Below are 26,429 nucleotides of genomic sequence, written 5' to 3'. Positions count from 1 at the left end.
AAATTAAATGTCCATGCTCTAGAATCTTAATTTAAATTATGCAAATCTGTGAAATGATTAAGTAAACAGAAAGCCATAGCATTTATGAAAAATCCCATTTCACCTATTTGTTATAGCTTCTGATGAAAAGGTTTGCTGACATAGTGATTTTGGCCAGTTGTTCGAAATATTTCTTTTTCTTTTCTTTTTTTTTCTTTCTTTCTTTTTTTTTTTTTTTTTGAGACAGAGTCCTGCTCTGTCACCCAGGCTGGAGTGCAGTGGCGTGAGTGGATGAATGATCTCAGCTCACTGCAACCTCCGCCTCCTGGGCTCAAGCGGTTCTCCTGCCTCAGTCACCCGGGTAGCTGGGATTACAGATGTGTGCCACCATGCCTGGCTAATTTTTTTGTATTTTTAGTAGAGATGGGGTTTCACCATGTTGGCCAGGCTGGTCTTGAACTCCTGACCTCAGGTGTTCCGCCCACCTCGGCCTCCCGAAGTGCTGGAATTACAGGCGTGAGCCACCGCACCCTGCCTGTTTGAAGTATTTCTGCCTCACCCCAGGTTCTCTGGAGAGCATTGGTGGGCCAGCCTTGAAAACCAGAGGAAGCTTTCCTACAGTGACTTGTAATTCCCAGAAGGAACTTAATGGGAGTGTGGAATCTTTTAAAAGTAAATATTTCCATTACATGAAGATGAACTTTAAAGAGATCCCACATACTTCCTTTTAGATTTTGGCCATTTCAGTTGCCCTGCTGTGTGCTCATTGTTTCTGTGCCTGGCATAACTTTTTTACAATGTTCTGTTCACCTACATGTGCTTTTCTTGCAGTATATTAGAACTTCTTATGATACAAAACTGGATCATCTGTTACATTTAATGTTGAAAGAGTGGAAAATGGAACTGCCCAAGCTTGTGATCTCAGTCCATGGGGGCATCCAGAACTTTACTATGCCCTCTAAATTTAAAGAGATTTTCAGCCAAGGTTTGGTTAAAGCTGCAGAGACAACAGGAGCGTGGATAATAACTGAAGGCATCAATACAGGTAAAGCTCCCTCCCTCCATTTCTCCCACCCTCTCTTTCACCCTCCCTCTCTCCCTCCCTCTCTCCCTCTTTTCTTTTTTCCTTTCTCTTTCTTTTCTTTTCTTTCCCTCCCTCCCTCCCTCCCTCCCTCCTTCCTTCCTTCCTTCCTTCCTTCCTTCCTTCCTTCCTCTCTCTCTTCTCTTTTTCTTTTTTCTTTCTAACTGTGAATCAGGTAGTGTGCCACATAATCTCTGCTCTGTAGCACTCCTAGGATATGTGGTGCTGTGAGGAAGAAAGATGAAAATCCTAGTGACTAGAAAATAAACCCAGAAGAATCATAGATTTTTCCTGGAATGTGTTTTTACCATTGTCAGAATATACTATTTTAATGTAACTTCAGATAAACCTCTGGAAAAGAAAATAGTCTTTCCTGAGCTCCCAACTACAGCAAGGCTAGAAGGGACATCGAATCCATGCAAGTGCATAGTGTGTGTGGGCCTGGACTTTCACTAAACTCATATAATCATTGTCAGTTTCTCAGATTTGGGAAATCAGTGATGTGGGTAAAACTTGCATTGCGTGTTTTGGGCATGAGTAGATACTTTTTTTTTAACTACATGATTGCCAAAACACTCACCGTCTCAATCACTGACTCTTCTACACTTCTTAAAATCTGAAATTCCAGAATTGTATATGGGGGGCTCTGACCTTATTTCTTTGCTTCAGTGTTTGTGAACTGTCTGCACATAAGGACAACCTGGGGAGCTTTTAAAATACAAATGTACAGGCTCTTCCCCAGATGAATTAGAGGCTTTTAGTCAGGAGCTTCTGAAGTATGTCAGCCAGGATTGAGAACTAGTGATTCCATAAACTCTTGTCTCTTACCAGTTTGTTACTAACCTGTGGTTTTCTTTTTCTTTTTTTTTTTTTTTTTGAGATGAAGTCTCGCTCTTGTCACCCAGGCTGGAGTGCAATGGTGCAGTCTTGGCTCACTGCGATCTCCGCCTCCCAGGTTCAAGCGATTCTCCTGCCTCAGCCTCCCAAGTAGCTGGGATTACAGGTGCCTGTCACCACACCTGGCTAATTTTTGTATTTTTAGTAGAGACAGGGTTTCACCATATTGGCCAGGCTGGCCTCGAACTCCTGACCTCAGGCGATCTGCCCACCTTGGCCTCCCAAAGTGCTGGGATTACAGGCGTGAGCCACCATGTCTGGCCTAACCTGTGGTTTTCTATCTTCCCTTTACTTTTCTCTCTTTTGATTTGGCATGCCCTGCCCAGTGTCTCCTATCAAATTTTGCCCATGTTTTAAGATCTACACGAGATGCCAACGCACTCGTCAAACAGCTTCTTGAATATCTCAACTAGAGCTACTCACTTTTGTCTTTTAATTTCTACAGCATTTACTGCCTGTAGCACTTGCAGAATGTTGGTATTTTGCCTTACAGGCTAGGATGAGTCAGTGTGTTAGCTCTCCTTCTGGTTGTGTACTAGAGGCAAGGGCCTGAGCATCTGCCTAAGCATTTAGCACCTTGTACTGACATAACAAAGTTCCTTTTGACTGAAAAGGAATGAAGGAAGTGAATGACTGAAAAAACAAAGTAAAATAAAACCAAGGGATTTGGCCCATCACAAATAGGTAACGCACACTTTATCATACATATTTTATAGAGATTGTTTCACATTCTTGGAAGAAACTGAAGTTGGCAGAGTTCTAAGTCCATTGTATAGTTCTTATTTGATTTCCAGTGAAGTGGGTGGGTAGGGAAGTTTCACATAATTCATTGAAAAGACAGGCTTGGGCAAGGCTTTTTCTTTGAATAACTAACTGCATGTCGTGCTTCATTTTACTTAATGCCTTAAAAAGATCATTGAGTTTATGGCCAGTTAACCTAAAGAAACACAAATAGAGTAGTGTGGAGATGATTGAAATACTTCATATAAACAAAAGAAATGGGACATGAGAAATACTTGGATCTCCACTAAACAACAGTCAGGCCAGATACAGTGGTTCATGCCTATAATCCCAGCCTTTCGGGAAGCTGAGGGCTGGTGAATTGCCTGAGCTCAGGAGTTCGAGACCACCCTGGGCAATGTGGCAAAACCCTATCTCTAAAAAATTGCAGAAATTAGCTGGATGTGGTGGTGTGCACCTGTAGACCCAGCTACTGGGGAGGCTGAGGTGGGAGGTTTACTTGAGCCTGGGAGGTCAAGGCTGCAGTGAGCTATGATCATGTCACTCTACCCAGCCTGGGTGGCAAAGCAAGACCCTGTCTTAAAAAAAAAAAAAAAAAAAAGGGGGCCGGGCGTGGTGGCTCACACCTGTAATCCCAACACTTTGGGAGCCCAAGGTGGGTGGATCACAAGGTCAGGAGATCGAGACCAACCTGGCCAACACGGTGAAACCCCGTCTCTACTAAAAATACAAAAAATTAGCCGAGTGTGGCGGCGGGCGCCTGTAGTCCCAGCTACTTGGGAGGCTGAGGCAGGAGAATGGCATGAACCCAGGAGGCGGAGGTTGCAGCGAGCCGAGATCGTGCCACTGCACTCCAGCCTGGGCGACGAGCGAGACTCCGTCTCAAAAAAAAAAAAGAAAACAACAACAACATAAAACAATCAGGCTAACCTGATTCAACCACAGCTCCTCTATGGCCTGGCTACTTAAGGATTAGTCCCTGGACCAGCAGCATCAGCATCAGCTGAGAGCTTGCTGAAAGTGCCTATTTCAGGCCCCACCCCAGACCTGCAGAATCAGAACCTGCATTTTAACAACATCCCCAGATGATTCCCGTGCACGTTTAAATTTGAACTCTGCTTATGAGCTCCTGTCTATTCTTGACAGGCTTCTCAACCATAGTTGAACATAATTTCGCATGAATCTTTGACATTTACTTAAATTGAATGCCACAAGCCTTAAGAATCTACTATGTGAAAAGCATTTGGATAGGTGTTAGGAATGAAAGAGGAGTAACACGGACCCTGAATTTAGTGATGGGTTGGGCTGTGACAGACAAAAAGCAACTAGTGAGAAATTGATGCTGACTGGGTTATAGTTGAGATTCAAAGGAACTGTTTTGAGAATACAAGGAAGACGGACATGAATTCTAGTTTCAACTGAGGGCACCTTGGAAGTCTTGGGAAGGATATAGCACTTGGCATTGGTCTTGTGGTAAAGGTAGGAAGCGGCATTAGTAAGAAGTGGCAGCTCAGGGTTAGGCACACAGCTAGAGGTGAAGGCATGTGTAGAAAGAAGTGATAAAGCTCCTGGCTGGAGTGTGTGCCATGTGGCAGGGGACAGGGACTGCAAAGGAGACTGGAGCCAGATTGGGTGCCATGCTGAAGTCTTATTCTCTACATAGCAAGGAGCCCTGAAAGGAATTTGAACAGCAGGATGAATAGGGGAATAACATGGTCAAATTGGGTTTTACGGAGAGTCTCAAACAACGATATGTGTTAGGATCACATGTAAGGTGCTTAAAACAACAACAGTGTTGGCACACCATGCCAAACCATGGAATCAGAATCTCTACTGGGGTGGATGGCTCCACACTTGATATTGATGTGTGCCTGTGATCCAGATCCCAGGTTCTAGAGATGGCTCTGGGAGAGGGTCAGAAAATGAGTTGGAAGGGAAGATGCCAGGAATGAGGAAGTGATTTAGCTGCTAAGCCTCAGATCCATGCCATATGCAGGTTATTTTTCCTTCTGTGCTAATGACACATATAAGGTCAGTACCACACATAGGAAGAATAGGAAGAATAAGTCTTACAATGCAGTATTGTGATTTAAAGGTCAGATCAAGCCAATCTCAAAGGCTACTTACTGTATGATTCCAACTATAGTATATGACATTCTGGAAAAGGCAAATCTATGGAGACAGTAGAAAGATCAGCAGTTGCCAGGAGCTGAGGGGGGAGAGGGATGAGTAGGCAGAGCACAGAATATTTTCAGGCCAGTGATACTAACATGGTGGATATACATCATTGTATCTTTGTCAAAACTCATAGAATGTACAGCAGCAAGAGTGAACCCTAATGTAAACTGATGTAAACTGTGGACTATGGAGAATAGTGATATTCTATTGTCATGACCCTATAATGTAGGGTCATCAATTGTAACAGATGTACCAGTCTCCTGGGGGATGCTGATAGTCGGGGAGGCTGTGTTTGTGTGGGAGCAGGGCATGGCATGGGAACTTTCTGTACTTTTCATTCAATTTTGCTGTGAACCCAAAACTACTCTAAAAAATAAAGTCTATTCTTGAAAAAGGTCAAATTGCCTAAATTGGAATCCAATCTCTACAAAATCCAAGCTCTAAATAAATTGTCCAAAGCTCTACAAACCTTGGACAATTTATTTAAACTCTCAGTGCCACAATTTTTTGCCTATAAAGTGGACTAAAAACATTCCTACTTAAAGTGTAAATACATACAAAGGTAGCCAACACTTACTGAAATCTTACTGTAGGCCAGTAAGTGTTGGCTACTGTACTAATTACTAGTATTAATTCCAGAAGGGCGAACATTAACATATTACTCCTCAATGTATTAGCTTTGAAATATTTGTGCATATAAAGCTATTAAATTAGTTTGCCTTAATGAGCAAGGGACATATCTGCAGGATGTTGTGCTGGGACATTGGGTAAGATTAGGCATAAAAAAAACATTCATAATAGGAGAAAATTTTTGCAGTCTACCCATCTGTCAAAGGGCTAATATCCAAACTCTACAAAGAACTTAAACAAATTTACAAGAAGAAATCAAACAACCCCATCAAAAAGTGGGCAAAGGATATGAACAGACACTTTTCATTAGAAGACATTTATGCAGCCAACAGACACATGAAAAAATGCTCATCAGCACTGGCCATCAGAGAAATGCAGATCAAAACCACAATGAGATACCATCTCACACCAGTTAGAATGGTGATTATTAAAAAGTCAGGAAACAGGTGCTGGAGAGGATGTGGAGAAATAGGAACACTTTTACACTGTTGGTGGGAGTGTAAACTAGTTCAACCATTGTGGAAGACAGTGTGGCGATTCCTCAAGGATCTAGTACTGGAAATACCATTTGACCCAGCAATCCTATTACTGGGTATATACCCAAAGGATTATAAATCATGCTACTATAAAGACACATGCACACGTATGTTTATTGCGGCACTATTCACAATAGCAAAGACTTGGAACCAACTCAAATGTCCATCAGGGATAGATTGGATTAAGAAAATGTGGCACATATACACCATGGAATACTATGCAGCCATAAAAGGGATGAGTTCATGTCCCTTGTAGGGACATAGATGAGCAAACTATCGCAAGGACAGAAAACCAGACACCGCATGTTCTCACTCATAGGTGGGAATTGAACAATGAGAACACTTGGACATAGGGTGGGGAACATCACACACCAGGGCCTGTCAGGGGGTGGGGGGCTGGGGGAGGGCTAACATTAGGAGAAATACCTAAAGGAGGAGTTAATGGGTGCAGCAAACCAACATGGCACATGTATACATATGTAACAAACCCACTCGTTGTGCGCATGTACCCTAGAACTTAAAGTATAATAATAATAATAATAATAATAAGCATTCATAATGTTAGGGCTGGGCTTGCTGAGGAAGGACAGTGCACAGCATTTTGCTTAGGCAAGAGTAGGATCGGATCTGAAGTTGTAGGCAGAAATTGCCCAAAGGGCTCAGAGGAACATTGTTCAGGTAGAGAGAGGTAATGATAAGAGGAAGATGTGTCTAGAAAGAATAGAGGAAGCCAAGGTATCAGAAACTAATTCCACTGTACCAGCAACTCTCCCTAAGAATAGCCCTTGCATATGCTTGCCTATTTATTTGTCTGTTTCTGGCAGTCTCTTTGTTTTGCACGATTTGTGAATTAAAGTTTGACTTCTAAACTGGTTGTTCATAGGAGTGTCCAAGCATGTTGGGGATGCCTTGAAATCCCATTCCTCTCATTCCTTGAGAAAAATCTGGACAGTTGGAATCCCTCCTTGGGGTGTCATTGAGAACCAGAGAGACCTTATTGGAAAAGATGTAAGTAGACAATCCTTTCATAACAAAAGCAAACGAACACGTGTGCAAATTGCCAGCTTAACACTGTACCTGGATGTCTAATGAATGAACATTACAGATGTAATATATTCACTACCAACTCCTGACTTTCTGCTGCTTCCCTCACCCTGTCTTAGAAGATGACAGTCCCACCCTTGCAGTTGCTCAAGTCAAAAGCCTTGGACTAATCCTGGAATGATCTCTTTGTCTCACACTCAAACTTGATCTATCAGTTCCACTTTAAAAATATATCTAAAATCTGATTTCTTCTTCTCACTGCCCTTACTGTTACTGAGTGAATCCGAGCCACCATTATCTGTTGCCTGAATGATTGCAATAGCCATCTTTACTCTTACCTTTGTCTCCTAACAGCATAGTCTCAACATAGTAGCCAGAATGATTCTTTAAAAATATACAAATCAGATCACGCCATTCCTCTGTGTAAAACACTTCAAGGACTTCTGTCTCACTTAAGGTAGTAGCCAAGGTTCTTGAAGTGGTTTGCCCGTAGTGAAACAAGGGACATTCTTAATTTGGCCCTCCTAGTTCTCATCTGTTATCTTGTATTACTCTGCTTCATTCCTTCTTGTGTATTGATTCTTTGTTCCTAAGTATTCTTTCAAAGGGAACGGACTTGTCTCAGTCTCTTTGTAAGACTAATATAATTTTTTGGTAAAATATTAGATATGAGAAAATGTTCTAAAGAAGAAAGATGACTACTGTTAATATTTCTGTCAGGATCATTTCAGAATTTTTTCTATGTATGTGTGTATAAGGACAGCAAAAAAAGTGTGTATTTAAAAATAGTAACAGAACTGATTGCTATAAATGTGCTTTTTTTCAGCTTACCTATTTGCCGTAGTTATTTCTCCATGTCGATTAATACAGACATGATTATGGGTTGTTTTAAATTTTTTTTTTTTTTTCCTGAGACGGAGTCTCGCTCTCTTGCCCAGGCTGGTGTGTAGTGGCGCAGTCTTGGCTCACTGCAATCTCCACCTCCTGGGTTCAAGCAATTCTCTTGCCTTAGCCTCCCAAGTAGCTGGGATTACAGGCACCCACCACCAGGCCCGGCAAATTTTTGTATTTTTAGTAGAGACAGGGTTTCACCATGTTGGCTAGGCTGGTCTCAAACTCCTGACCTCAGATGATCTGCCTGCCTCGGCTTCCCAAAGTGCTGGGATTACAGGCGTGAGCCACCACACCCAGCCTGTTTTAACTTTGATTTTGGAAAACTTGCAACATATTAGGCAGTAGAGAAGTTAGAAAAATGAACTCTTTTCTATGTACCTATCTCCAGCTTCAACAGTTACCAGCTCATAGCCAATTTTGTTTCGCCTCTTCCCTTATCCATTCAGCCGACACCCTCCGTTATTTTGAAGCAAATTTGAGACATCAAATAATTTCATCTATAAATATTTTAGTAGTTCTTTCTAAAATATATGGACAATGAAAATATATAATCACAATGAAGTTATTATATCTAAAAAATTACCAGGAATTTCTGAGTATCACTGACTATCCAGTCTAGTCAAGTTTTTCATTGCCTCATAATGTTTTTTTCAAAAACAGGGTTTCTTAAGTCTTCATTATTTAGTGATTTGATTTCATTATCCAAAAAAGTTTCATATATTGTGATGGGTTGTTATATCTCTTGACTTGCTTTTATTTTTGTCACTTTTAATCTATGGATTTTACCTCCATCTCATTTTTTTATGTGTGTGTAATTTATTTATTGAGGAAACTGGGTCATTTGTTCTGAAGAGTTTCCTCCAGCTTGGATTTTCCAGATTTAATCTTTTGTAGTGGTGTTTAGCATGTTTCTTTGCTTCTTTTCTGTAAATTGGTAGTTTGATTGAGAGGTATGATCAGGTTCAGGTTTTCTGTGTAAGTTTATGCCATAGGAGGAGGTATGTCTTTCCCTTGTAATATATGGGGGTCTCTCTTTTTATAATGTTAGCAGTCGTTGCATAGATTCATTATTTCAACAGAGTTCCAACGTGATGACATTTAATTATAATGTCCTTTGTTTATTAGTTTACATGCTCTATGTACTTAACACTCTAATACTTAAATACTCCATATAGATAAACGTTTTCTCACCAATCACTTGGTTTACCTTGTGGTACAGTTGTATAGGAAGGGCTGAATAAATGCTTGACTCTTTTCTTTTTATTTGCCAGTTTTCAAAATAATGAAAGGTGAATGATGAGTTTTCTTAACTCATAAATGTAAACATCTTTGTCATATTTCAATCCATGAATCAATACAGTTATTATTCTTAATAATGTTCAAATTATCCCATTTTGGCCGGTGGAGTGTTTTCAAGATGTCTCCTCCTCTTTTCATACAATTCCATTGTCTATCATGACTTCCTTGCTTTTTAGTATGAAAAAATATTCCAGGCTCATTGTGTATATTTTTTGTTTCTCAGAGTAAAGGCTGTTTGCTTTTAGTGGGACATAGCTTTTTATTTTTATTTTTTTCCCAGAGATGGAGTCTTGCTGTGTTGCCCAGGCTGGAGTGTGGTGGCACGATCTCAGCTCACTGCAACCTCCGCCTCCTGGGTTCAAGCGATTCTCCTGCCTCAGCCTCCCAAGTAGCTGGGATAACAGGCACCCGCTACCACACCCAGCTAATTTTTTTATTGTTGGTAAAGATGGGGTTTCACCATATTGGCTGGGCTGGTCTCGAATTCATGACCTTGTGATCCACCCACTTCGGCCTCCCAAAGTGCTGGGATTACAGGCGGGAGCCACTGTGCCTGGTCAGTGAGACATAGTATTAGCAGAGCACATCTGGAGGCCAAGGAAACATTTTGATTTTTCATGTCAGCTAGTATCATACTGTACTGTATTGAATCAATGATTCCTCTATTATTGTCCATTTAGGTCATGTTCTGTTTTTCACTTTTGAGGATAATAATAATAATATTGTGATAAGATATGTAAATCTTTGATACTAGCTTGCTTATTTCCCTAGAATTAATTCTCGAAGTGGAATGCTTGGACCAGTCTGTATAACCGTTTAAAATGTGACACATTGCCTCTGGAAGGGTGGTAACAATTCACATTCTTGGCTGGGCATGGTGGCTCATGCCTATAACCCCAGTACTTTGGGAGGCCGAGGCCGAGGCCGGCGGATTGCTTGAGCTCACGAGTTTGAGACTAGCCTGAGGAACATGGTGAAACCCTTGTCTACAAAAAAAAAAAAAAAAAAAAAAAAAAAAACAAAAATTAGCTGGGCATGGTGGTGCACGCCTATAGTCTCAGCTACTTGGGGGGCTGAGGTGGAAGGATTGCTTGAACCTGGGAAGTTGAGGTTGTGGTGAGCTGTGATTGCACCACTGCACTCCAGCCTGGGCAACAGAGTAAGACCCTGTCTCAAACAAACAAACCAAACAACAACAAAAACAAAAATAGCCAGCATGGCAGCATGTGCCTGTGATCTTAGCTACTCAGGAGGCTGAGGTGGGAGGATCGCTCGAGCCCGGGAGGCAGAGGTTGCAGTGATCCCAGATGGGCACTACTGTACTCCAGCCTGGGTGACAGAATTAGACCTTGTCTAAAAGAAAAAAACAAAACAAACAAACAAACAAAAAAACCCCAAAACAAAACAATTCATATTATTTTCAATGGGGTATGTGGATGCCCATTGAGTTCTGAGTATTCTGTTTTTTTTTCAAGCTCTACCCTTCTGTTAAGGTATAAAATAATACCTAATTTTTCTTATTTACATTTCCCTGATTGCTAGTGAGGTTCAACATCTCTTCATCTGGTTTTTGTACATTTTCAAGCAGGGATTTTAGACTTCTTAACCTTCAAGTTTTTTTGTTTTGTTTTGTTTTTTTAAGATAAAATTTGCTCTGTTGCCAAGGCTGAAGTACAATGGCATGATCATAGCTCACTGCAGTCTTGAACTGTTGGGCTCAAGTGATCCTCCCATGTCAGCCTCCAGAGTAGTTGGTACTACATGCATGCACCGCCACACCCAACTAATTCTTAAAAATTTTTTTCTTTTAGAGATGGGGCCTTGCTGTGTTGTTCAGATTGGTTTTGAACCCTTGGCCTCAAGTGATCTTCCTGCCTTGGCCTCCCAAAGTGTTGGGATTATAGGAATGAGCCTCTCTCTGTGTCTAGCCTTGAAAGATCCTATAATTCAGCCTAGTAACAATTTTGTTTGTCAAGTATGCTGCATTTCTCATAGTTTTTATTTTATATTATTTCTTATCTTTTTAAAATAAATACAAAATATGTATTAAATCTCTCAATTATTTTCCTTTTGGTTTCTTGCCTCAGTGTCATGCTTCGAAATTATAAAGGTAACATTTAAAGCCTAATGTTTATAAAGTTCAGAGTGCCTTTTGCATCCATTATTTCTTTGAAGCCTCACAACAACCCTCTGAATAAAAATTATCAGTATCATCATCCTTACTTATACCTGAGGAAAATAAGCCTGAGAAAGAAAGCAAGAATTACTCAGAGTTAAGGTTAGTAAGTAGAAGAGCCTTGACTTAAACTTGGGCTTTCTTACTCTAAATATTGTGCTTTTGCCTCTAAAAGCAAATACGAAGTGGAGCAGCTTAAGAAAATGTCCATTAATGTAATAAAGATTTTGATGTTTTATAATGAATGAAATACTGTTTGGCTGGTTGGCTGTTCCACTGTTTTATTTATTTATTTATTTTTGAGATGGGGTCTCACTGTGTCGCCCAGGCTGGAGTGCAGTGGCGAGATCTTGGCTCACTGCAACCTCCACCTCCCAGGTTCAAGTGATTCTTGTGCTTCAGCCTCCTGAGTAGCTGGACTACAGGCGCATGCCACCATGCCTGGCTAATTTTTGTATTTTTGGTAGAGATAGGGTTTTACCATGTTGGCCAGGCTGGTCTCGAACTCCTAACCTCAACTGATCCGCTAGCTTCGGCCTCCTAAAGTGCTGGTATTACAGGCATAACCGCTCCTGGCCAGCTGTTACTCTTTATTTTGTTTGAAATACTAGAGAAAAGTCAGTGTCAAAATATTATTCTGGAATAAATCTATAAAAAGACACTATTTTTGAATAATGGTGTGGTCTATGTACTGGTGCCAGTCCTTGAACTGTTTTTTAATGATTTGAAACAAGGTAAGCACAGAAATGAAAACGAAGGCTGGGCGTGAAACCCCGTCTCTCCTAAAAATACAAAAATTAGCCAAGCGTGGAGATGTGTGCCTGTAGACCCAGCTACTCGGGAGGCTGAAGCAGGAGAATCGCTTGAACTTGGGAGGCTAAGGTTGCAGTGAGCTGAGATCATGCCACTGCACTCCAGCCTGGGCAATAGAGCAAGACTCCATCTCAAAAAAAAAAAAAAAGAAAGAAAGGAAAAAAAAATATTTAGAACCACTGCCAGCAATGTGACCATGCTGTGTCATTCAAGCACGTGGAAAGCAGGCTAATCTTGCTGAACAGGGTTTGTTTCAATACTGTTGAACTTGTGTTGTGAATCTCATGTACCACAAGCTGCCTACTAGTTATTCATAGTGGGATCACATATCGGTCCATTAAAACATGGGAAATTTAAAAAATTGATACCACAGATAGTTTGAGAAGCACTGCTCTAAATTGCAAGTAATACTTTTTTTTTTTCTTTTTGAGACGGAGTCTCGTTCTGTTGCACTGGAGTGCAGTGGCGCGATCTCACCTCACTGCAACTTCTGCCTGCCGGGTTCAAGCAATTCTCCTGCCTCAGCCTCCCAAGTAGCTGGGACTACAGGCACCTGCCACCATGCCTGGCCAATTTTTTTGTGTATTTTTAGTAGAGATGGGGTTTCACCGTGTTAGTAAGGCTGGTCTCTATCTCCTGACCTTGTGATCCGCCCACCTTGGCTTCCCAAAGTGCTGGGATTACAGGCATGAGCCACCATGCCTGGCCGCAAGTAGTACTTTTTAAACTAGACAGGAACTCTTTTAGCACATAAAGATAGGCCTTTGGAGCAGGTGAGCCTGGGGAAGGATCTAGAGCTCTGACCCTCCCTTGTCCTTGCTGTCTCTCAGGTGGTGTGCCTGTACCAGACTCTGGATAACCCCCTCAGCAAGCTCACAACACTCAACAGCATGCACTCGCACTTCATCCTGTCTGATGATGGGACCGTGGGCAAGTATGGAAATGAAATGAAGCTCAGAAGGAACCTGGAGAAGTACCTCTCTCTGCAGAAAATACACTGCCGTGAGTATCACAGGGGCTCAGTCACCCAGTCTGGTTGCAGGCCTGCTGAGGTCTTTCATGGTCTTCCCTGACCATCAGAGCTCACTCTCCTAGTCCCCTCAAGCTAGCCTCCTTAATACTCTTCAGCCACCCCCCTTCCCACATGGGCATCTCCCCTCCTCTCTCCCTCCATGTATCCAATCCAAATGACACTTCGAGGATCCACTAAAGTCTTCATCCTTCCATGATCCCCCCAAAGATTTCTTCCTCTCTCTCAACTGTCATCCACAAGTCTGCACTGTCTGATATCCTGTGTTCTTCCGGCTGTGGGTTCACCATGGTCAAGGTGCTCACTTATCACCTGCACAGAGTAGAGGCCGAAGTTGGCCCCTGCCTTAGAGCAGCCAGAGGGATTAAGTTAACATAGGGAACCCGAAGCCAGAAGAAAGCAGGATATAAGACCGTGCAGACTTGTGGGTGACAGTTGAGAGAGAGGAAGAAATGTTTGGGGGATGATGGAGGGATGAAGACTTTAGTGGATCCTCAAAGAGTCATTTGGGTTGGATAGATGGAGGGAGAGAGGAGGGGAGATACCCATGTGGGAAGGGGGGTGGCTGAAGAGCATTAAGGAGGCTAGCTTGAGGGGACTAGGGGTGTGAGCTTTGATGGTCAGGGAAGATGACATTTCATGTGTTGGTGGGGTGGCCCTAGGCAGGGAAGGGGTTAAGACCAGACAGGATTTTTAGAAATAGGGACCTTGGGGCTGGGTGTGGTGGCTCACGCCTGTAATCCCAGCACTTTGGGAGGCTGAGGCGGGTGGATCACCTGAAGTCAGGAGTCGAGACCAACCTGGCCAACATGGTGAAACCCTGTCTCTGCTAAAAATACAAAAATTAGCCAGGTGTGGTGGTGCATGCCTGTAATCCCAGCTACTCAGGAGGCTGAGGCAGGAGAATGACTTGAACCTGGGGTGTAGAGGTTACAGTGAGCTGAGATCGCCCCACTGCACTTCAGCCCAGGTGACAGAGCAAGACTCTGTCTCAAAAAAAAAAAAAAAAAAAAGAAAGAAAAAGAAAAAGAAATAGGGACCTTGGAAAGTGTCAAGTTTGTGTCATGCTCACAGTGGTGCTTCAAGAGGGCCATTTTGGTAGTTTTATCTGGAGGAGGGCAAGGAGAAGGGAGGGCCAGAATCAGCATGCACCACTGGGCAGGGAAGTGTGAATCCTTTACAGAGAGCAGGAGGGCTGAGTGCTGCCTGGAAAACTGTAGACTTTTGGTTCAAGGCACCAGAAAGTCGACCCCTGCCTCTTGTGCCGAATTAAATCTTCCACAAAATACTTCCTTGGGACAAAGGGCCAGGGAGTGGGAATGCCTTCAGGAGGCTCAAGTCCTCTTCAGCCTTTGAGCATTGGGCTGAAAAAATGAAAGACTGGAAGTCCATTTAGTTTTTGGCCTTGATCCCTGGAGGCAGCAGAATGTAGTGAGGTCAGACAGATTGAAGCGCTGTCATTTTGTGCCTGTGACCTTGGCCAGATGGCATTAACATCTGTCAACTGTTTTCTTATTATAAAATGAAAAGAACTATCTACGTCTAACGTTTGTTGTGACAATTAATTGAGAAGATGTATATTAGGGATGTCTAGAATTGTGTTGGGTGCACGGTGTGTCTTTAATAAATGTCTGTTTCTTTCCTTCCTTTTTCCCTCCTTTGGTACAGTGATCATCTCATGGTTGTGGGGTAGGAGGAGGGGAGGGACTCTGGGAATTGTGGTCGTTCACTTAACTCTTAGTGTGAATAAGGATTCTGAGGCTTATGCAGGTCAGGAAAAGGGGAGAGAGGATCAGGTATGTGGTCTTCTGCGGGGTAGGAATGGCTGGGAGAAGGGAGACCAGCAGAGCAGAGGGAAGGAAGAGAGGTCAGAGAAGGACCTTGAAGAAGAATCCGTATAGAGAGGGATCCATTAGGGGCCTGAAATATTACCTGAAATGTCCTGTTGCCTCTGTTGACCTTTGCCCACCACCTAAATTGCGTGGGGTTCTGTGCAGCGCTATAATGTATGCTCCATGGGAGGTATGAGAGTCTTTGTCTTTCTTATTCCCTGCTGATTGCCCATTTTAGTAAGAATGCAACAACCCTGAGCTTGCTTATAGTAGCAGATGACATTTCTACTTTCAAAGACCTTGAAACCTAGGATTTATCTGGAGGCTTTTGCTGACTATGGAGTCAATTCCAGTGGACTGGTAACATTTATTATTCTAAGGAGAACCCATATAAAAACAGCAAAAACAAGAAGCCACCTATACACACACACATACACACACACACACACACACACACACGGAAGAAAGAGAAGACATGCCCTCAAGAAACTCAAAATTCTTATGTATCAAGCTGATCTTCATACCTAACATACTTATGAGGGAGGTTGGCTACCATATTTGTATTTGTTGTTGATTTGATCAAAAAGGGATTTATTTTTGATGGCATGAAAATACTTAACTAGTGGTTGATTTATTTGACTTTTTTGTTTTTTCTGGAGACTGAGTCTCACTTTGTCACCCAGGCTGGAGTGCAATGGCGTGATATCAGTTCACTGCAACCTCTGCCTCCCTGGTTCAAACAATTCTCCTGCCCCAGCCTCCTGAGTAGCTGGGATTACAAGCACCTGCCACCACACCCGGCTAATTTTTTTCTATTTTTGATAGTGACAGGATTTTACCATGTTGGCCAGGCTGGTCTCGAACTCCTGACCTCAAGTAATCCACCTGCCTTGGCCTCCCAAAGTGCTGGAATTACAGGTGTGAGCCACCATGCCCAGCCTGTGGTTGATTTATTTTATTGCTTTTCAGCCAGTCTTCTTGGTGACTCTGGCAAACCCTTGTTGTTGGCAGAGAATACTTTAAAAAAAAAAAAAGACTCACATTATAAAGTTGCTGTAGGAATCCCTGGCTTTCAGCCATTTGAAATGTGGCCAATGTCAGCTTCTGTTTTGTAAGACTCTAAGGATGTGATTTCAAGATAGGAAACATAGGCTCTGATGCCTCTGTATCTTTTCGTAATCCAAGTCTCAAGGGAGAAGAGTGCTCTTTCCTGGAATGTCTGTTCTAGGAACTTTTAATTTGGAGGTCTAATATTGTATTCCTGCCTCACCCTGGGACCTTACAGTAGAAGCAGCTCTCTAGTGAGATTTCTCAGCAAGAATTTTACATTTTTTTCTTTTTAAACCAATTTTTATTAGTGTATCAGTAAGATTTTTTTTTTTTTTTTTTTTTTTTTTTTTTTTTTTCAGAAAAAGCCATAAATATATTTGATTTTGTGGGCATAAGTTATTATTTCAAGAGAAGTGGGCCAGGTGTGGTGGCTCACCCCTGTAGTCCCAGCACTTTGGGAGGCTGAGGTGGATGGATCCCCTGAGGTCAGGAGTTCAAGTCCAGCCTGGCCAACATGGTGAAACCCCGTCTCTACTAAAAATACAAAAAAGCAGCCGGGCATGATGGCGCGCACCTGTAATCCCAGCTATTCAGGGGGCTGAGGCAGGAGAATCACTTGAACCCAGGAGGCAGAGGTTGCAGTGAGCTAAGATGGTGCCACTGCACTCCAGCCTGGGCAACAAAGTGAGACTCCATAAAAAAAAAAAAAGTGTACCTAACAGAAATTGAATTCTCTTCCTCTTCCACAAAAATGCCCATATTAATTTTTTTTTCTTTTTCGGATGGTAAAAGTATTATATACTTCCACATTCAGGTAATGCAAAGAAAGCATATAACAGAAGAAAGGGACAGTTTTCTGTAATCTCACTATCAAAACTAACCATTCTTAACCTTTTCATATGTATATTTTCACAAATTTTCTACACACACATGCAGACGCACACACACACACACAAGCAACATCTTTTAAGCAAAAACTGGGGTGATTTCATAATGCTTCTTTTGTAGTTTTTCCCCTGCCCCACTAAACACGGTCCTATTTCCATGTCAATGAGTATAATTTAGTACATTTTAATGGCTGAATAACGTTTTATTGCACAAGATACAAAAAATTCACTTACAAGTGTTTTTATTCCAAAATCAATAAAATATTAATCGAAATTTTCTTCTATTACTTTTGTGCCTTATACTATTTTTGCCGCCTCATTTGGCTTTTATAAGACTATTTAGAGAAACCCTATGTCTATTAGTTGGTACATCATAGATATGCTTTTTAGTGATATGGAGAAAATAATGAGGTGGAGGTGTATGGAAAAGGAGTAGAATGTCAAAGCAACTAAATCGATGGAGTGAAGTTTTTGGATGGTTGCTAACTGACCCATCCCTAACATTTGAGAGCCTGACACAGGATACACATGGAAGACCACATACTATACGTCTAGATATTTAAATGCCTTAAATCTAGATAACTGTATAAAATATGTCCTAGCCTTTTATCTTGACACATATAGCTGGAAGGCCAGACTTGAGTTTGGAAACCTTGGATTTTTGGAAGTACTTAGCAACGTGGTGTTCTTTGGGCATCCTAGTAAGCTGGGGAGGGAGCACAGGCTTCCCTTGACCCTTGACCCTGTAGATGTCTCACCATGAGGGCAGGGGTGTGGCCAGAGGAAGGCCAGTGTGCGCCCCTGAAAACATGGGGCTCAGAGTAAAGTCCTCTTTTGCTCAGGGGTGAGTGTGGCATTGCTTGCCAAATTTTCTTCTTTTGGAAAATAAAATAAAATACAGTGATTTAAATGTAGTATATCAATATATGTGTGGTGTGAAAACATAAAGCAAATAAGAAATCTACAGAATAAATAGACAAGGTCCCTTTTCAACATTTTCCTAAACCTTCCCTTCTCTTTTCCACTGTTCATAGTGTGATGTGTATCCTTCCAGAATTTTCTGGTCATTTATATAACATGCTATACATACAGGTATGTGCATATATACATATAAAATATGTATGTAAGTATATTTTTAAAAAATATACATAGGATAATACTGTGCATATTATTCTGTAAGCTTTTTTGCTTACATCTTTTTTAAAAGAATGACTCTGCAGTTATTCCTTTCTGTTCTTTCTCCCTTACTTTAAGAAAGTAATATATATATAGGCTTGGGTCACGTAGTCTGCAAGAAAAAAAGGTAATATATAGTCATGATAAAAAATTCAAACAATAAAAAATGAAATAAATGGCAATGCAAAAGTCTTTGAGTGTTGTCATCCTACCTTGTTCCTAGAAATAACCACCATTAAAAGTTTATAGAGTCTAGGTGTGGTGGCTCACACCTGTAATTCCAAGACTTTGGGAGGCTGAGGCAGGAAGATCACTTGAGACAAGGAGCTTGAGATCAACCTGAGCAACATAGGGAGACCCCATCTCTACAAATAACTGAAAAAAAAAAAAAGCTAGGTGTGGTGGTACATACCTGTGGTCCCATCTACTCAGGAGGCTGAGACAGGAGGATTGCGTGAGCCTGGTAAGTCGAGGCTGCAGTGAGCTGTGATCACACCACTGCATTCCAGCCTAGCTGACAGAGTGAGACCTTGTCTTATATAAAATAAATAAATAAGTAATAATTAAAATGTTTGTTGAACTGGTTAAGGTTGTTCATTTTTGGAGATGAGTGATGAACACATTGGGATCTATTATATTGTTCTGTTTACTTTTAGATACTTTGGGAGTTTCCCGTAATGGAATACTTATTTCTTAAGCAATACTTATTTTTTTGAAAAATTATTGAAAGCCTTTTTACCTGGTAAAAGCTTGAAGATGCTGTCACCATATTTATGCCACATTTTATTTGAAGTCCAAGTTTCTGGCTTGGTCTTGATCTAAGCAAACCAGGGTAAAATGAGAGAGGGGCCAGTGTGAGGAATGAACATAGGTGGTAATTGAGAGACTTGTGTCTGGAAGTCAAAACGGCCGACTGGCTGAGCTAGGGATTCTCTAACAGTGTGGTATTGTTTGTGGTCTGGAATAGGCTCAAGACAAGGCGTGCCGGTCGTGGGGCTGGTGGTGGAAGGCGGTCCCAACGTCATCCTGTCAGTGTGGGAGACTGTCAAGGACAAGGACCCAGTGGTGGTGTGTGAGGGCACAGGTAGGGCGGCTGACCTCCTGGCCTTCACACACAAACACCTGGCAGATGAAGGGTGAGTTGTTGGCTCTTCTTTTTTGAAACTATAGGGGCTGTTTATTCCTCCATTTTAGTTCTTTTGGCTGTGCATTTATGTGAGCCAGATATTCTTGGATTATAGAAGTTGAGACTGGATTTCATTTCTCAGTGACTGTGTTTGTTGTTCAACATCAAAATGCCCTTCAGCGATGAGAGTTGCTATTTTCTTAGCTGAAGAATGGCCTGCCTTTAAAGGGAAGCTTGAGTCTTGCTTGAACTTTGGGGAAAAGGTGTTTGCAGGGGGAGTGAGGGAGGTGTGGCTTGAGCAATTGGCCATTACAGCCGTAAGGACCTTGTAAGGGAGGTGGCCAGTGTTGGGCCCAGAGCACCTTCAAATTCATTTGCCCTTAATGGAAATAGCAGAAATTGGGAAGGTCTACATCCTGACATTTTCATAGCATATGTCGTGCTTATTTCAGGCTTTAATTCTTTCCCCTTCTCAAATAAGAAGATAATTTTTCTCTTGCCATCCCTCTAGCCAGTGTGGTTCTTCCAATTTCAAAAGCATGATATTTCTACTGTATAAATAAGTACAGTGCCTAAGAACTAAAATGTTGACCCCACTAATTTATTTAGTAAACAGTTATTTGCTGCTTATACTGTAACAGCTCTCTGGAGTGCCTTTGCTTATGATTGCTCTTCCTGTTCATTTCTCCTGCCTCCACTTCCGCCCTCTACCATCTCCCTCTGCTTTCACTCCTCTCCCTTTTCTAAAATCATCCTGGATGTGTGGTTATTAAACCTTTTAGGGTTTCAGATCCTTTAGAGAATATAATACCTATAATTTCTGGAGATTTCCAGCCCTCTGGAAATCTACCAGCTTCAGAACTCCACTTCAGAGTATATTCTTTTCAGGATGTGGCAGATCAACCCATTCTCACTTTCTTTCTTCTTTTATAAATGTAAAAATAGAGGCAGGGTCTTGCTATTTTGCCCAGGCTGGCCTCGAACTCCTGGCCTCAAGTGATCCTCCACCTGGGACTCCCAAAGTGCTGGGATTACAGGTGTGAGCCATCATGCCCGGCTCCATTCCCACTTTCAAATTCAGCTTTCTTCTTGAGCTCCTGCTTCCGTTTGCTCCCCCTCATTTGCTCTTCTGGCAGAACTGTCCATAGACACCTTTTCAGTCTGGGGAGCTGATGGGGTGTTTTCTTGTACTGATGTTGCCGGCTCATTCCCCTCTCTGGGTTGTGTCAAGACCATTTATTTCTCTTCCAGGATGCTGCGACCTCAGGTGAAAGAGGAGATCATCTGCATGATTCAGAACACTTTCAACTTTAGTCTTAAACAGTCCAAGCACCTTTTCCAAATTCTAATGGAGTGTATGGTTCACAGGGATTGTGTGAGTATGACGAGTTGATGATTCAACTGACTTAAGAACTGCTAATTTATAAACACTGTAATATTTATTTTCACAATTAAAAAAAAACATGGTGGACACAGGAAGGGGAACAACATACAGGGGCCTGTCAGGGTGGAGGGGGGAGGGAGAAAATCAGGATAAATAGCTAATGCATGGAGATCTTAATACCTAAGTGATGGGTTGATAGGTGCAGCAAACCACCATGGCACACATTTACCTGTGTAACAAACCTGCACATCCTGCACATGTATCCCAGAACTTAAAATAAAGTAAAATTATTTAAAATTAAAATAATAAAAAATAAAAAATGTGGATTTTTCATTTTGATTTTGAGTGTATCTAGCTCTACAGAATTTGATTCTTCGTTGAGTAAACTTGACTTCTTGCTGTCACTGCTGTCCGCACTCTCCATGCTTCAAATACTAGACTCTACTACAGAAAAAGCACTTAGTATAACAATGTTCCAGAAAAGTTATCAGATTTAGTGAAAATTACACAGAAGTATTTTCAGAGGGTAAAGGAACAGCTCCATGTCTTCAATGAACACAGCTTCATGGTGCTGAGTTACATGACTGCCTCACAGCGTCCTGAGTAAATCCTGCAGGAAATCATTGGGAATGTACTGGACAATGGGAAAAGTGAGAATAAACTCTGGGATAAAAAATGGAGCCCACAAACTATGGGCTATTACCATAATGTAGACTCAGGAAAAGTTTTTAGTGTTTTAGGGTACTGTGATAAAAAGATTAATTTATTTAATTAATTTATTTGGTAAAGACAAGGTCTTGCTCTTTTGCCCAGGCTGGAATGCAGTGGTGCAGTCATAGCTCACTGCAGCCTTGAATTTCTGGGCTCAAGTGATCCTCTTGCCTTGGTCTCCTAAAGTGCTGGGATTATAGGCATGAGCCACCATGGCCAGCCTATGAACAAAATGACTTGGATGATATGAATTATCAATTCTTTTTTTTTTTTTTGAGACAGGGCCTCACTCTGTCACCTAGGCTGGAGTGCAGTGGCGAGATCTTGGCTCGCTGCAACCTCCACCTCCTAGGCTCAAGTGATTCTCATGCTTCAGCCTCCTGAGTAGCTTGGACTACAGGTGCATGCCACCATGCCTGGCTAATTTTTGTATTTTTTGGTAGAGATGGGGTTTCACCATGTTGGCCAAGCTGGTCTCGAACTCCTGGCCTCAAGCGATCTGCCTGTCTCGGCCTCCCAAAGTTCTGGGATTGCAGGCATAAGCCACTGTGCCCGGCTGAATTATCAATTCATATCAATGACTCAGATGATATGAAGCTGACAATTACAGTAAATATACAGATATGTCATGATTCAAGGTGATCTTTCTAGAATCTGAAGGCTGGAGCAAATTGTATAAGAATTTTGGTAATATTTGAGTACCTGGCCTCAAAAAAAAAAACCAACTGAAGTGTTCTGGCTAGAGGAAGCATGACGAAATCTATGTGGAAAACTCTTTGGGGTTTTAGTTGGCCCAATAACAACAATAATAGCAACCATGTTTCTAATTAGCAGCATGCTTCTAAATGTATTCTTTTCATTTGAAATAGCCCTGTGAGTGAGTTCAGTATGGCAGTGGTTATTTCCAGTTTGGAAATGATGAAGCAGAAGGCTAGAGAATTTAAGGGATTTGCAGTCATGCAGTTAAGAAATGACAGATATGCTCGGACACGTTGGCTCACGCCTATAATCCCAGCACTTTGGGAGGCCGAAGTGGGTGGATCACCTGACATCAGGAGTTTGAGACCAGCCTGGCCAACATGGTGAAACCCTGTCTCTACCAAAAATGCAAAAATTAGCCAGGCATAGTGGCGGGTGCCTATAATCCCAGCTACTTGGGAGGCTTAGGCAGGAGAATCGCTTGAACCCGGGAGGCAGAGGTTGCGGTGAGCCGAAATCGCACCATTGCACTCCAGCCTGGGCAACAAGAGCAAAACCCTGTCTCAAAAAAAAAAAAAAAAAAAAAAAAAAGAAATGATAGATCTGAAACGTGAGTTTCAGAAGAGTTGAAATCTTCTTAGTCTATTGCACTTTCTATTTGCCACAGTAATCAGTAAGTTAAGAAAAGGACAGGTAAAGGGATTGCCCTTATGTTTGCCTCTTCTTGCCATCAAGCAGAATAATTAATAAGCAATGTAATGACCAAGAGGGTCAAGAGAAGGCAGCAAAGGGCTTGCAGGTGATAGGAATTGGGTTGTACAATTGAGGACTGATTTTATTCGTGCACATAGAGGGCGTGTCAGGTGAAAGGAAACAATGTGTGAAGTTATAGAAGCATAGTTTTTTATCTTTATGATACCTTAGAGATTATTCAACAGGTTCCTCTCATTTTATGGATGAGGAGCCTGAGATTCAGCAGCAGCCTCAAGATATTTACCTAGGACTAGCTTGTTAGTGGCATACTTGGGACTAGGTCTTGCCAATCTTGGCTTTTTCATTAAAATAGCTCCTTCTACTATATGAAATGTATTTTAATTTAAAAAGACTGAGATATAGCCATTAATAACAGGTGACTCCCCCCCCCTTTTTTTGAAGCAACAAAAGCAGAGATTTATTGAAAATGAAAGCACACCCCACAGGGTGGGAACGGGTGAGCAAGTGCCTCAAGGGCCCATAGGTGACCCTTTGGAACCATAAGTAACGAACTTACTTGTCTTTAAAAGAGTCAAAGACCGTCTGTGTTGCCCAGGGTACTTGCTCATTGGGTCCACTGTAATTACCTCAGTTATTTTATGACAAACCCTTGAGGATTCATTTCTCGTAAAAAAGCAAGTCTGGCTGGGCGTGGTGACTCGCCTGTAATCCCAGCACTTTGGGAGGCTGAGACCGGAGGATCGCCTGAGCCCAGGAAATTCAAGACCAGCTTGGGCAATATAGTGAGACCTTGTCTCTACAAAAAATTAAGAAAAGAGAAAAAAAAGCAAAAGTCTTAGTTTCCAAGGCTAGGTGAATGAAGGATTTCATTCGTTGTCTCTTTGAAAGGAGACATGATTTTATTTACATCAGAAATTAACATTGAGGTTCTTTTTGTTGTAGCATGTACATAGTAAATTCATGTAATAACATTCTTTCATAAATGTTTCCTCTGGATATGTGGAATTTTTAGTTTTTTCCCCCCCAAGTGCCCATAATTCTTTGTTACCCTATTTAAAAGTTTTCTCTCCTGTAAGTAAAAAAAGGTTTTAAAGAAGAATGTTTTCCTCAATTCATTAGCTCCAGTCTGAATTCTGTGGGTACTCTTTGAAAGCATTTATTTGGTAGTTCCCCAAATGTATGGCTCTCTGTTTTTCACTGTTGTAGATTACCATATTTGATGCTGACTCTGAAGAGCAGCAAGACCTGGACTTAGCAATCCTAACAGCTTTGCTGAAGGGTGAGTATCTGGATGGGGTTGCAATTGTTCCTCATTTACGCTTCTCATGTTCCACAGTACTTTGTGCTTCTTGCGTAGATATCTTGAAAAGAATATATGATTGTTCCTTTCTTTTACCCTAGGCACAAATTTATCAGCGTCAGAGCAATTAAATCTGGCAATGGCTTGGGACAGGGTGGACATTGCCAAGAAACATATCCTAATTTATGAACAACACTGGAAGGTATAGTGAAAATGAAGTTATTCGGAAAAAATATTTTGTGTGATGGTCTGTTAGGAAGGGGCAAAAGAGAAAATGAGAGGAGATATTGATTGGTTTGGTAGAAGTGTGGGGTAGCATCTCTGTAGCTGGGATAGCTAAGACACTTTTCCCATCGACTTTGCCTTCCTGAAAACCATCTGTTTTTTTTTTTTTTTTTTTTTTTTCCTGGCTCTGCAATCTACCTGAAGCTGAAAAGGGAAGTTGAGTGAAAGACAGAATGGAAGGTTTTTATTTTAATATATTTATGTTATTTTATTTTTAGACACAAGTTCTCACTCTGTTGCCCAGGATGTCATGCAATGGTATGATCATAGCTCACTGTAACCTTTAACTCCTGGGGTCAGGTAATCCTCCCCCATTAGCCTCCTGAGTAGCTGGGACCACAGGCGCATGCCACCATGCCCAACTAATTTCTTTGGAAATTGTATTTTATTTTATTATTTGAGACAACGACTTGTTATATTGCCCAGGCTGGTCTTGAACTCCTGGCCTCAAATGATCTTGCTACCTTGGTCTCCCAAAGTGCCAGAATTACAGGCGTGAGCCACTGTGCCTGGCGTACAATTTTTAATTTATTTTTGGGTAGATTTCTATCTTGTTATTTAAAACTCAAAGTTTACTTTTTGCTTTAAAATGTAGTAGGTGCTCACATTAGAAATTAGTGAAAACATAAAAAAGAAGAAAGATTACCCATAATGCTAATGATAATCACTATTAACATTCATTTTAAAAGATTATAGTTGTGGCTGTATTACAGGTATATTATTTTTGGGCCAAGCTAATACATGCACATTGTTTAAAATATCAAATGATATTAAAAGGCAATTTTAAAAGATGGTAGTTCTCTGCCCTGCTAATCACAAGAGCTAGTACTTAAGATGTTTTTGATTTTTCTAACACTTATAAATCTCCATATTTCTAAATAATGTCATATTGCTATATTTTGGTTCATTTAGTTTCAGAAATTTTTCAACACTTCTGTCTTGTGGGCCTCACGGCTGCAATGTGGACCAGTTTCCTTCTCCTCCTGGTGCACAGCTGTCATCCCGGGATGCACCCTCATCATCTTGGGGATTCCCTTGCCTCTTTCCCATGTTAGAGGGCATGTCTTCTATGTCCTTGTCTTCCTCTTTGTTTACTCATTCATTTTGATGGTATACATGTGTCAATAAGTTCCTGAGAAAGGGAGTATGAGAGATACATATTTTGAGGACTTACATGTTTGGGTGTATTTTAATTCATGATTTAAACTATTTTTTCCTACAGAAATTTGAATGCCTAGTTTCCAGCACCCAGAATTTCTATTGAGAAGTAAACACTTCTTTTTTGTTTTCAGATTCTTTGTCACCATTTTTTTTTCCTATCTGGAAGTTAAAAAAATCTTTCTTTTCCAGTGTTATGCTGTGTGTTGTTGTGAGTCTCTGTATCCATTTTGTTGGGCACATGATTTCAACTTGGCAATCATATGTTTTCATTGCATTCCATTCCCTTCTCTTCCGTAACACCCCCAACCTTTGTTCTCTTTTGTAATTCCTATTATTTGAATATTGGACCTTATGGACTGCTCCTCTAATATTCTTATCTCTTTCCTCCCATGTTCCCTATCTTTCCTTTGGTAGCTTTGCTGGACTTTATTTTTTTATTTTAATTTTAATAATCAATTAACTAATTTATTTATTTTTGAGATAGGGTCTCACTCTGTCACCTATACTGGAGTGCAGTTGCATGATCTCGGCTCACTTCAACCTCCACCTCCCACACCAAGCAATCCTCCCACCTCAGCCTCCTGAGTAGCTGGGACCACAGGTGTGTGCCACTACACCAGGCTAATTTTTGTATTTTTAGTAGAGACAGGGGTTTGCCATGTTGGCTAGGCTGGTCGAACTCCTAGGCTCAAGCAATCCACCTGCCTCAGCCTCCCAAAGTGCTGGGATTATAGGCTGAGCCTCAACTTTAATTTTCAAGCCTTCTATGAAGCTTTTCTTTTCTGGTAGCATACTATGAATCTATT

General features: G+C 41.4%; 1 protein-coding gene across 3 annotated transcripts in view, besides 1 other annotated feature; it reads left to right on the top strand.

The window, feature by feature from the left end:
* The window catches only part of TRPM6 (transient receptor potential cation channel subfamily M member 6), a 165,427-nt gene that overhangs the window by 46,874 nt on the left and 92,124 nt on the right, over positions 1 to 26,429 (top strand). For all 3 annotated transcript variants that reach the window (NM_017662.5, NM_001177310.2, NM_001177311.2), the window contains exons 5-11: positions 811 to 1,024; positions 6,926 to 7,050; positions 13,099 to 13,270; positions 19,211 to 19,379; positions 20,621 to 20,744; positions 24,084 to 24,156; positions 24,279 to 24,379. In NM_017662.5, coding sequence (NP_060132.3) covers positions 811 to 1,024; positions 6,926 to 7,050; positions 13,099 to 13,270; positions 19,211 to 19,379; positions 20,621 to 20,744; positions 24,084 to 24,156; positions 24,279 to 24,379 — 978 coding nt within the window. The remainder of the gene's footprint in view (positions 1 to 810; positions 1,025 to 6,925; positions 7,051 to 13,098; positions 13,271 to 19,210; positions 19,380 to 20,620; positions 20,745 to 24,083; positions 24,157 to 24,278; positions 24,380 to 26,429) is intronic.
* Positions 2,361 to 2,655: a silencer, noted in NCBI's record as "tiled region #9148; HepG2 Repressive non-DNase unmatched - State 24:Quies, and K562 Repressive non-DNase unmatched - State 22:ReprW". NCBI's record gives its function as "represses a minimal TATA promoter and a strong SV40 promoter by Sharpr-MPRA in HepG2 and K562 cells {active_cell/tissue: HepG2 | K562}" and the evidence as "EXISTENCE:reporter gene assay evidence [ECO:0000049][PMID:27701403]".

This window comes from Homo sapiens, chromosome 9 (assembly GCF_000001405.40).
Source record: "Homo sapiens chromosome 9, GRCh38.p14 Primary Assembly".
Taxonomy (NCBI): domain Eukaryota; kingdom Metazoa; phylum Chordata; class Mammalia; order Primates; family Hominidae; genus Homo; species Homo sapiens.
Note: the sequence above shows the minus strand (reverse complement) of the source record. Positions and strands in the feature narration are given on the sequence as shown.